Here is an 11,516-nt window from a genome sequence, read left to right on the forward strand (position 1 = left end):
TGAGTTCAGGAATGTTAAATTCAGCACCTAGTACGTGGCAAGTTCTCCGCAAGTAATGCTGAATACTTAAATAAAGCTAATGCAACTCTCCGCCTCCACTAGGCCCCCCTTAAAACATGCTAAATAAATTGGAGTTCATTCAACGTTACACGAAATAATATTGTGCTGTTTTCACAATAAATATACAAATATCACATAGTAGTTCAGAAAAGTGAGACCCTATAATGCTTATAACCTGAAACAATAATTTCGAGATTTTGAAATGCTATACTCAGCGATAGATGGATCCTATGACACACACCCTCCTTCTTCCAAATATGGAATGACATTAAAATGTTTCAACTTGTTTACAATCTTTGCAAAAAATCACTTTTTTGTATTTTATTTAATTTTCTATTTCAATAGGTGTTTGGAGAGCAGGTGGTGTTTGGTTACATAAGTTCTTTAGTGGTGATTTCTAAGATTTTGGTGCACCCATCACCTGAGCAGTGTACACTGTGCCCAATGTGTAGTCTTTTATTCTTCGTCTCCCCCTCCCAATTTACCCCCGAGTCCCCAAAGTCCATTGTATCATTATTATGCCTTTGTGACCTCATAGCTTAGCTCCTACTTGTGAGAACATCTGATGTTTGGATTTCTATTGCTGAGTTACTTCACTTAGAATAATGGTCTCCAATTCCATCCAGGTTGCTACAAATGCCATTATTATGTTCCTTTCTATGGCTGAGTATAATCCACTCATATTCCATGGTATATATACACATTTTCTTTATCCACTCATTGATTGATGTACATTTGGGCTGGTTCCATATTTTTGCAATTGTGAATTGTGCTGCTATAAACATGCATGTACAAATATCTTTTTTGTATAATGACTTCTTTTCCTCTGGGTAGATACCCAGGAGTGGGATTGCTGGATCAAGTGGTAGAGCTACCTCTAGTTCTTTAAGGAATCTCCACACTGTTTTCCATAGTGGTTGTACTAATTTACATTTCCACCAAGAATGTAAAAGTGTTCCCTTTTCACCACATCCATGCCAACATCTATTATTTTTTGATTTTTTGATTATGGCCATTCTTGCAGGAATAAGGTGGTATTGCATTGTGGCTTTGATTTGAAAAAAAAAAAAAAAAAAAAATCACTTTTAAGAGAGAAAGAGATCCTGGTACTCTGGAAAGAACATTGAAGAAAGAAGACAAAGATTCAGTTCCACCTCTGCTATCTAATCATGCAATTCTGGCCAAGGCACTTGTCCTCCCAGGCCACCAGCTCCTCTTTGATGAGATAATGTGTCCTTGGAAAAAGTATAGCCTATAAGAAAGAACATGCCTCCAAGTAGTAAAAAGATTTGAGAACAATTGTGTTAATGCATGTTTTTTAGATATCTGTTGACAGAAGAGTAAAATCAAGAGCCCGTATCTTAGGAGGAAATTTCCTTGAGCACTTTCATTTCCATATATTGAGTACAGATTGAAGAGGGATAATTCAATATGCTTCTGTTCAACAATTATGATACCATTTACCAAGCATTTGCTAACAGCTTTAAGAGTTACACAATAGATCCCAGCACTTTGGGAGGCTGAGGCGGGCAGATCACCTGAGGTCGGGAGTTTCTGATCAGCCTGACCAACATGGAGAAACCCGGTCTATACACCCGGGAGGCGGAGGTTGCAGTGAGCTGAGATCACGTCATTGCACTCTAGCCTGGGCAACAAGAGCGAAACTCCACCTCAAAAAAAAAAAAAAAAAAGAGCTACACAATAAATAACTTGCTTTAACACATCAATAGCTTCACATTGATACAAAGACAATGATTGTAATGGTTAATTTTATGTGTCATTAGGCATTCCACCAAACATAATTCCGCATGTCTGTGAGGGTGTTTACGGATGAGACTAAAATTTGCATAAAGGAGAGTGCCCTCCCTAATGTGGGCAGGCCTCATCCAGTCAATCGAAGGCCTGAATAGGAAAAAAGTCTCAGTAGGAGGAAACTGCTCCCACCAGACTGATTGACTTGGGACGTCATCTTTTCTAGCCTTCCCAGTAGGACTCAGTCATCTGTTTTCCTTGGGTCTCCACCCTGTTTGCTTTCAGACAGGAAATAAACCATCAGCTCTTCTGGTTCTCCAGCCTTTGGACTTGAACTGAAATGACATATTGGCTCTCCTGGGTCTCCAGCTTGTGAACTGCAGATTCTGGGACTTCTCGGCCTACATAATTACTTCAGCCAATTCCTTATAATAAAATTATACAATATATTATATATTATATTATATTATATTATATTATATTATATTATATTATATTTACAAACACAGACTATTAGTTCTGTTTCTCTAAAGAACCTTGACTAATACAAGAACCAATCTCTACACTCCTTAGCATGGCCAAAATGCCCTATACGACCTGGTTTCCATCTACCCCTCCAACTAAATCTCAGACAGAACATGATGCCACCTCCTCCACTCCACCCTCATCAGCTTTCTTCCATGTCCTCACACATACTGTGTTTCCTCTGTCATGGGGTTTTCACTCATTTATTTATTTATTCATTGATAAACTCAACTAATTATTGAATTTCTACTATGAGTCAAGCACTGAGGTTGTACTGGGAATATAAAGTGAACAGGTAACAATGTGGCTAGTTTCATGGAGAATATGTTCTAGTCACAGAAGACAGAAATAGATCTACAGCCATACCTGAACATGCCTGATCTTGGAAGCTAAGTGAGGTCCAGCCCGGTTAGTACGTGGATGGGAGAAGACAGAAATAGCATGTAAATAAACAGGTTAATTTCAGGACGTGACATGTGCTTCAAAGGAAACAAAACAGGGTGAAAGAATCATTTGGTGATCAGAGAAAGCCCCACTCATAGGTGTTTTTTAAGTACAATTTTATATGAAGGGGCCATCCATGTGAGGACTTGAAGAAGGAGCATTCCAGGCAGAGAGAATTACAAACACAGAACTAACTGTGAGATAAGTTTATCTATAGATAAACACAGAGAGAGAGAGAGAAGCTTATATACATATATATGTGTGTGTGTGTGTGTGTATATATATATACACACACACACACACACACACACACATATGGCATGTGTCTATAGCACAGTGGGGCAGCAAGAGAAGGTAGATAGGTAAGCGGAAATGAGATAAAGCCTTAATAGCCAGAATAGGATTTAAATTTTTATTTGAAGCACACTGAGAGGCTTTGGAGGGTTGACATCATCTGATTTAATGTTTGATTTCACACTGCGATGTTTAACAGTGGACATGGGGAGACTAGTAAGGGAGGTTTGCAGTAAGGATGATTGGTGGTAGCAGTTTGGATTATGGGGATGTAGAAAAAAATGAAGAATGATTCAGGATATATTTTGGAGATGGAACAGATAGGAATTGCCCATGTGACTGGAGAAAAGAAAGGGTAACTCCTAAGTTTTTGACTTGAACAATCAACTGGGCAATAGCATCATTTTCTGAGATATGAAATTCTGGGTAGAGATGGGAATGGGGCTGGGGGAGGGCAAGGGGACAAACTGCTCATACTGTCCTTCTCTTGGGACTGTTTTTCACTCCCTCTTCACCTAGTTGACTCCTTCCTATTCTTTGGATCTCAGCTCAAATGTCACTTTCTCAATGAAGTCCTTCCCTGATGAGTTCAAACCAAACCTCTATATTAAGTATACACTCAATTGCTGCCATGTAGTTTCCCCTAATAGTAGACTGGAAAAGTAGCCACCAATTCCTCTACCAACCACACCATCCGTAACATTTCCACTGCCCTCTCACTCTGATCCCTCTAGTCTAGGCCACATGGCTTGCATCCGCCAATAGTGTATCAGCAAACATAACATAGGCAGAGACTTGAAAGGCACTTGTGCAGTTGACTTGTCCTGCTCCACTGTTTTGGAACTCTGAAACCATGGAAAGAAGCCTGGCTGAGGTGCTAGACAATAAGAAACACGTGGCCCCTGCTGACGACCTGCCAATGCCGTGACACAGAAGTGAGGCCTCTTAGATCATCCAGCCGCCAGCTGACCAGAAAGGTGAGTAAGAGCCCAGCTGAGCAGAACCAAGGTAAAAGAACCACCCAGCTCACTCAGAATCCCAAGCTAACCAAACGATTGTAAAACGTCACTAAGTTTTGTGGTGATTTGTTACACTGCAAAAGTGGATACAGTAGCACATACCTCAGTGGCAATTTTACACATCTTTGATTAGCTTCTATCACTGCCACATAACTGTGAGCTCTCTAAAAGCACAGACTATTCTGACCTTAGGTTACTGTGCCAACCTCAAAGCCAAGCATAATACCTGGAACACACCAGGCATCCAACCAATAACATGCTGAGCGAATGCAAGGAGCAAAGAGAGATACACATTGTAACACAAGCGAATAGGGGAAGTTCAAAACAAAGGACTGAGGACATCTATTTGTACAAAATAAAAACTTTTAATCAGCAGCACACGGCAGCGAGGAATACAAGACCAAAATCACATTTAATCTGTCTCAAAGGGTTCAAAGTCTAGGGTACAGGAGGCAGTACAAAATCAACGAAGTGTACTGTTTGAGCATTCCAACACTTCGCTCCTTCAGACAGTATTAGGACCCCGTCCCAAAGCGTTAGGACAAGGCCCTAACGCTGCCTGAAAAAGTGAAGTGACGGAGGATCCCAGAGAGGTTTCTTGAAGCAGATAAAGTCTGAATTGAGGCCGGGCCCGGTGGCTCACGCCTGGAATCCCAGCACTTTGGGAGGCTGAAGGGGGGCGGATCACTTGAGGCCAAGAGTTCAAGACCAGCCTGGCCAACATGGCGAAACCCCGTCTCTACTAAAAATACAAAAAATCAGGCCAGCATAGTGGTGCACGCCTGTAATCCCAGCTATTTGAGAGCCTGAGGCAGGAGAATCGCTTGAACCCAGGAGGCGGAGGTTGCAGTGAGCCGAGATTGTGCCACTACACTCCAGCCTGGGCAACAGAGCGAGACTCCATCTAAAATACATATATAAATAAACAAAGTCTGAATAGAGTCCTTGCAGTATTTACTGGGAAAAGCAGCACACGCAAGGCCAGGAGGGTCAAAGGGACAGAGGCGTTCAAAGGACAAAGGAGAGCCTCCTGTTTGTTTGGGGTTTTATTCTTTTTGAATTTTTGTTCCCCCAGGCCAACTCTAAGAGCCAGAACTGTTCGTTATTTATCTCAGCACAGGTTCGGTGTAAGCGTTGCCTCCTTACCCGACGCTCAGGCCCTTCAGGTCCGGGACCCCTGCTTCTTAATTATGTTTCTATTACTCCCAGTGTCTAACACAATCTCTTCCACGAAGTCGGAACTTGATACATATTTGCTGAATAAACGAAAAGTTAAAGATGAGGCAGAAAGCACAGCTCCTTCCAAGGGCAGCTCTCAAGAGCCCACGTTTTCAGATTCAGCAGTGAAGCGGACGCGTCTGGTACGAGACTACAAGTCGCACAGGCGGAGAGGGGGCCCCCGGGCCTCTGGTTTCACGTCTCCCTCCTGGTCCCCGGCGGACCGGCGTCTTTTCTCCCCTGCTCGGAGTAGCCTAGCAGCGCTGGAGGCTGGCTGTCTGGTAAGCGCGGCTGTTAGAGAGGATGGAGGCGCCGTAGCCCCGCGGTGCTTCTCACAGCCTTCGCCGGCAGGGACGCGCGGGACAACCGCGCAGGCGGCTCTGCAGGGGTGGGCGCGCCATCACCCCTCTCGGTCCCTGCCTGCTTGGCGCTTTCCGAGCCCCAGCCGCGCTCAGGCTGCCTCGGGCATTGACCGCGGGGGCGCGCGCCCCGTTTCCATAGAAACGCCCGGCCTGCCGCGGCGGCGCGAGGGGCGGGCTTTCAGGCTCCCGGCGGCTGCTTGCGCCCCAGCGCGCGCCCAGGCGCCTTGGAATCCCCGTCCTTGGGCCCCCGCAAGGTCCCCGGCCGTGCGCGAGGCAGCATGATGAGGCGCACCCTGGAAAACCGGTAACAGCCCGAGCCCAGCTGCCCAGGGCCGCCCACACTGGAGGGCTGGGGTGAGGGAAGTGGAAGCCTCTGTCCATGGGGCCTCTGCGCCGAATTCCGACCCTGAGTGGGAGGCTGCACGGTCCCCGCTGTGACCTGGGGCCTAATTCCTTGGGCTGCAGCCACCGCCGGCGGCGAAGAGGAGCCCGGGGCCCGGCCGGCTGCCACCCACCCACGCCACCGGGTCTCGGGTCCCCACACTGCCGCGGGCAGTGCGGAAGCCTAGGAGGCAGCCGGGCGCCCAGGCCGCGCTGCGCGGAGCAGCCGGAGCAGCCACCTCCCCAGTTAAGGCCAGGCCCACCCGGCCTGGGCCTTTTCCTGTGCCTACACAGTCCGGATAGTGAGGTCAGGACCCCATGGAGAGCAGTCCGCGCCGGGAGACGCTGGGTCGTTGATGGGTTTACGCCTTCAAAGCTGCAGAATGCCCGGGGAATGTTTGCATGTTAAATTAACGTGAAGCCTTCTCATCTCTAACGAGAATGTTTTGCCTTTTGTGTCACCTTTTCCCTAGGAACGCTCAAACGAAACAACTGCAAACAGCTGTCTCAAATGTGGAGAAGCATTTTGGAGAACTGTGCCAAATCTTCGCTGCCTATGTGCGGAAAACTGCCAGGCTGAGAGACAAAGCAGACCTCCTGGTGAATGAAATTAACGCGTATGCTGCTACAGAGACCCCGCATTTAAAGCTGGGCCTGATGAACTTTGCAGATGAGTTTGCCAAACTTCAGGATTATCGACAAGCAGAGGTATGGAGTGAGATCACAGTGTCATTGTTATGAATGAGCCATGAAGTAGTGGATGAAGGAACCGTGGAAACTTTCACTTGTAATCTACCTAACTGCAGAGGTGGATGCAAACTTGATAAAACGTACATTTTCATAAGACTGTGTGAGTCTATTAAAGAGAAGCGTTCTGTGTTTTATTTTACCCTTTTCAAGCTAACCTTTAGGGCATCTTGAGGTCTTGAATTTCCCCACTTTATTTGCCAACTTTTGGCCAAGGGGTGGCTGTTTACTGGGGGTAGTGGGAATAGTACCCAGGGGGAAGAAAATAAGCATAACTTAATGTCTTGTGTGGCACATAAGTACGTTTTAAAGAATGACTGGAGATGGAAATGTTGGGAATGGTAATGTGGATGGATAAATTATTAATAAATGGGTAAGACATCATTGCTGCATCCATGGTTTGGAAAATTGACCAATGGTTTACTAACAACAACAAAATGCTATGAATTGTATCATGGAAGCAAACCAATACTGAGACACCGTGTGGACTTTTTGCTCTGGGTAGCAGGAGAAGTGTCCTTGTGATTGTTTTCTTTCTAAAAGCCCATATTTTTCCTTTAAATACTTAATAAGCACTTTTACTTGTATTTATTTTCAGTTTCACGGCATAGGTTAACTTATCAGAAGTTGCCCAGTTAGAACTGCGTTGCTTTTTTATACTTTTCAGAACCTAAAACGGGAATTTCAATTTTCAAAAAACAGAATGAGTATAAAAAAAATTGAACTCATCATTGCTATCCATACAAATTTGAAGAGTAATCATATTTGGAGGTACTTTTGGAAAAATGTGGAGTTCTTGTCATGAAACTTCTGTAATAAACAAGTAACTCTCAATTATATATGATAACTGGGGACTTAATGTTTCAAAGATAATTTATATTCACAGGTAATCCTAAAATCTTATTTTAGCCAATAATTTCAATGCCCCTTTGTAGAAAACCTTTGTGCTATTTATCAAATAGCAAAGTGAATTGATTTGCATTTGTTCTCCTTTTATTTCCCTTGCTTACCAAATGGTGGAGGTCCTAATGAACAATGACAAAAAGGTAGGCAACAAAAAGGAGAACAGAAAAAAGACTTAGATAATCCTTAAACTGAATAATCAGTATGGATTATAAGAAATGGTGTAAAGCAAACTGTCCTGAATATCCATGATTTTAGGATTCCTAATATTTGAATACTTGATGAGAAGTCGATTTTTATTTTCCTAACATGTTTTAAAATGAAACATTCATATACATTTCATTTACAGAAACTAAAGAAAAATCAATATGAAATTAAGTGTATTTGTCAATTATATAAATATGTATCATTAAAAAGCCCTTTTCCTGCTATTAAAAAATGTTCATTTTAAGCAATTGAATACATCACCTATCTTGAGAAAAAAAATTTTAATGTCCAAGAGTTATTTTTCTTATGCTATATTTAAATACTTGCCTTAAAAAAAATCTCTCTTCAGTGCCTTCCACTAGTACTACTTGTAAAAGAAGTAATTACTCAAAATGTGATTTAAAAACCTGTAACGTTTAAGAAAAACTATTTAATTCTAAATGAAACAGAGATGAAACATACAGTTTGACAGCTCAGCAACTCAGACCATTTATCTTGTTCTGTAGGCTTCGATAATTCACAAATGGCTTCTCAGAAAAAAAAATGCAGCAAATACAGTGATCTCTAAGCTTTTTTGCTTTTCAAGGTTATGTTGCTTTAAATGTTTCCAAGATGCTCTGTCTTTCAGCTTTGATTTTCTTTTCTGAAAAGTTGAGCTATTACAGTTCAGAGATAATATATGCAAAGTATCCATTACTGTGCTGAACACACTGAAAATGTTAGCTGTATTAAAATTTGAACTGTCTTAACACCCTTAAACTACTACTTTAAGGTAAAAAAGTAATCCTAAGATGATGATGTGGCCAGGATGAGCTCCTGGGAAACCTGAGACATTTTCTTGTCATTTTGCTCACCAGGTGCTTTTCTACTTTTACTATTACTGTGCAGCTTAACAGTTTTTAATGTGTTTTGAGTTTAGATTCTGAGTCTTATCAATTTCTAGTGATTAGCCTTTTATTTATAGGTTAAAATGTTAAACGTTCTAATTTAAAATTTTAATAATTTTCAATAGGTTGAAAGACTTGAAGCCAAAGTAGTTGAACCCTTGAAAACTTATGGGACCATTGTGAAAATGAAACGGGTAAGTAAATCCATTTTCTCACTTAACTGTGAGTTACTCTGGCAAAGACTATGAGGTTTCCAATTGTTTTTTTAAATAAGAAATACAAAGTAGTGGCCAAGAGTGGTGGCTCATGCCTGTAATCCCAACACTTTGGGAGGTCGAGGCGGGCGGATCACGAGGTCAGGAGTTTGAGACCAGCCTGGCCAACATAGTGAAACCCCGTCTCTACTAAAAATAAAAAAAATTAGCTGGGCATGGTGGCATGCACCTGTAATCCCAGCTACTCAGGAGGCCGAGGCAAGAAAATCGCTTGAACCCAGGAGGCAGAGGTTGCAGTGAGCTGAGATAGCGCCACTGCACTCCAGCACAGGCGACAGTGTGAGACTCTGTCTCAAAAAAAAAAAAAGAAAAGAAATACAAAGTAGTATATAGTCATTCTTTTTACTCTGAAAGATCACTTAGATCTTTAAGAATAATGAAATAGTTTTAATGAGCTTATTAAGTATACTGTAGCAATATAGACATTATTATGGAAACTTTAAAATAATTATGAAAAATATATGGACAGAAATTGCTTTACTATATGAATATAAGTTTTTCTTTAAAGCGATAGCATTTAGACTTTTAAAATGTGTGAGAGAGTTCTATTTTTAAAAGTTACTTTATTGATAATTTACATCAGCAGTCCCCAACCATTTTGGCACCAGGGACCGGTTTTGTGGAAGACAATTTTTCTTTAGTTCACAATAGGGTTTGCACTCCTATGAGAATCTGATGCTGCCTCTGATCTAACAAGAGGCAGAGCTCAGGCCTTAATGCTAGCTCGCCCACCACTCACCTGCTGTGCTGGCCCAGTTCCTAATAGGCCTGGGGGTTGGGAGCCCTTGATTTATGTGCGATAAAATTCTTCCATTTTAAGTGATCATTGAGTTTTGGACAAATGTTTATACCCATGTAACCACTACCGCAATCAAAATTACACATTTATATGCATATATCTATTATGGTTAATAGTTTTGCACTGAAATTGTGTCATTATTTTGAGAGAATATTAAACACATTCTCACATACATAGACACTAATTATGTAATACTTGTAATTCCTGTGGTAATGGTACCAGGATCACACAAGAAGTATTCTTCCATTCTTAAAACAATTCTTAAAAGAATTCTTCCATTCTTAAAACTGAATTTTCTTAAGTCAGACATTTTTACTAACAAAAAAATGCCAATTTGCAGGATGACCTCAAAGCAACACTCACAGCAAGGAATCGAGAAGCTAAGCAATTAACTCAGTTAGAAAGAACACGTCAGCGAAACCCATCTGATCGACATGTTATTGTATCCTTTGAATTTGGGTCTTTAAAAAAATGTTTAAGGTATGGAGTACAAAAGTAAATGTATATAGAAATTGTGCATTTTTACTTTTAAACGAGTAGAGAATTTGAATATAAAGATTGAAAAGAAATGCATTTAGGAATTCTCACTATAGAAATTTTAAAGAGGTTACGCCACCTAATTCAAATCCCCTTATATTGTTTTACACAGTAGACTTTGCAAACGAACAAACAAAAAATTCAGATGTTTTTATAAACAGTAAATTCAAATTTCTGAATTTTATTTTCACATGGTGATGACTAAATATTAATTCTACAATTAAAGATCTATTGTTAATCCTAATATATCAGTGTCCTCTATGCCCTGCTTTGAGAAAAGGAAAGAAAATTTTCCCATTTAATTTCCTTCATCTTTTAGAAATAAAACAACTATGTGACATCATGACTTCCAGCCAGTTAACCTCAGGAGTCTTAAGAGTATAATTAAGATCCAAGTTGGACACAAACCTAGAAAGGACTGTCTACTATAACAAGGTTCTTCTGTTAAACATGACTTTCTTAAACTACAATGTGCCTTGTTCGTGAGTAAACAAAAGCATACAAAATAGTGCCTAATTGCCAGCAACTGAGATGGGTAGGACTGTGTAGAAAGCACTAACATCTGGCTGGGCGTGTTGGCTCGTGCCTGTAATTCCAGCACTTTGGGAGGCCGAGGCAGGCAGATCATGAGGTCAGGAGTTCGAGACCAGCCTGGCCAACATAGTGAAACCCTGTCTTTACTAAAAATACAAAAATTAGCCAGGCATGGTAGTACACACCTGTAGTCCCAGCTACTTGGGAGGCTGAGGCAAGAGAATCGCTTGAACGTGGGAGATGGAGGTTGTGGTGAGCTGAGATCACACCACTGCACTCCAGCCTGGAAAACAAAGCGAGACTATCTCAAAAAAAAAAAAAGAAAAAGAGAAAGAAAGCACTAACATCCCTACTGCCTCTTTTTCCCATTCCTTCTTCTATATGTCTCCTTCCTGCTTCCTTAAGGTTGTTACTGCCCAGCTCAGCCAGAAACCACATGAGGAGTGGCTCTTTGAGAGCATTTGAGGTTCCAGAACACCTCCATTCCTGAGGGGAGTCTCTTGAGCAGCGATTTGGGGCTGCGCCAGTTGCTTGGTCCTTCTTCCTTTGGACCAAAGGTACAGAAGCCCAAC

General features: G+C 41.7%; 1 protein-coding gene and 1 long non-coding RNA gene across 12 annotated transcripts in view, besides 6 other annotated features; one reads left to right on the top strand and one right to left on the bottom strand.

The window, feature by feature from the left end:
* The window catches only part of CIBAR1-DT (CIBAR1 divergent transcript), a 353,967-nt gene extending 348,229 nt beyond the window's left edge, over nt 1–5,738 (bottom strand). Inside the window, exon 1 of the long non-coding RNA NR_033858.1 lies at nt 5,241–5,738. This is a non-coding gene — a long non-coding RNA (CIBAR1 divergent transcript). The remainder of the gene's footprint in view (nt 1–5,240) is intronic.
* Nucleotides 5,374–5,453: an enhancer, noted in NCBI's record as "active region_27618". NCBI's record gives its function as "activates an Ori minimal core promoter by ATAC-STARR-seq in GM12878 lymphoblastoid cells {active_cell/tissue: GM12878}" and the evidence as "EXISTENCE:reporter gene assay evidence [ECO:0000049][PMID:35858748]".
* Nucleotides 5,483–6,107: an enhancer, noted in NCBI's record as "H3K27ac hESC enhancer chr8:94712406-94713030 (GRCh37/hg19 assembly coordinates)". NCBI's record gives its function as "activates a minimal SCP1, AML or CMV promoter by ChIP-STARR-seq in primed H9 embryonic stem cells {active_cell/tissue: H9 hESC(primed)}" and the evidence as "EXISTENCE:reporter gene assay evidence [ECO:0000049][PMID:30033119]".
* Nucleotides 5,483–6,203: a biological region, named in NCBI's record as "H3K27ac hESC enhancer GRCh37_chr8:94712406-94713030".
* Nucleotides 5,674–5,723: a silencer, noted in NCBI's record as "silent region_19357". NCBI's record gives its function as "represses an Ori minimal core promoter by ATAC-STARR-seq in GM12878 lymphoblastoid cells {active_cell/tissue: GM12878}" and the evidence as "EXISTENCE:reporter gene assay evidence [ECO:0000049][PMID:35858748]".
* Nucleotides 5,754–5,893: a silencer, noted in NCBI's record as "silent region_19358". NCBI's record gives its function as "represses an Ori minimal core promoter by ATAC-STARR-seq in GM12878 lymphoblastoid cells {active_cell/tissue: GM12878}" and the evidence as "EXISTENCE:reporter gene assay evidence [ECO:0000049][PMID:35858748]".
* Nucleotides 5,855–11,516, top strand: part of CIBAR1 (CBY1 interacting BAR domain containing 1) — a 30,978-nt gene continuing 25,316 nt past the window's right edge. For 5 of the 11 annotated variants that reach the window (NR_156453.2, NR_104268.2, NR_104267.2 and 2 more), the window contains exons 1-4: nt 5,855–5,978; nt 6,529–6,763; nt 8,925–8,993; nt 10,214–10,315. Coding sequence is in view for 4 of the 11 variants with exons in the window: in NM_145269.5 (NP_660312.2) it covers nt 5,953–5,978; nt 6,529–6,763; nt 8,925–8,993; nt 10,214–10,315 (432 nt within the window). In the remaining 7 variants the exon portion in view is untranslated. The other 6 variants (NR_156452.2, XR_007060694.1, XR_001745468.2 and 3 more) reach the window with 4 other exon arrangements.
* Nucleotides 6,084–6,203: a silencer, noted in NCBI's record as "silent region_19359". NCBI's record gives its function as "represses an Ori minimal core promoter by ATAC-STARR-seq in GM12878 lymphoblastoid cells {active_cell/tissue: GM12878}" and the evidence as "EXISTENCE:reporter gene assay evidence [ECO:0000049][PMID:35858748]".

The sequence above is a fragment of the Homo sapiens genome, chromosome 8 (genome assembly GCF_000001405.40).
Source record: "Homo sapiens chromosome 8, GRCh38.p14 Primary Assembly".
Taxonomy (NCBI): Eukaryota; Metazoa; Chordata; class Mammalia; order Primates; family Hominidae; genus Homo; species Homo sapiens.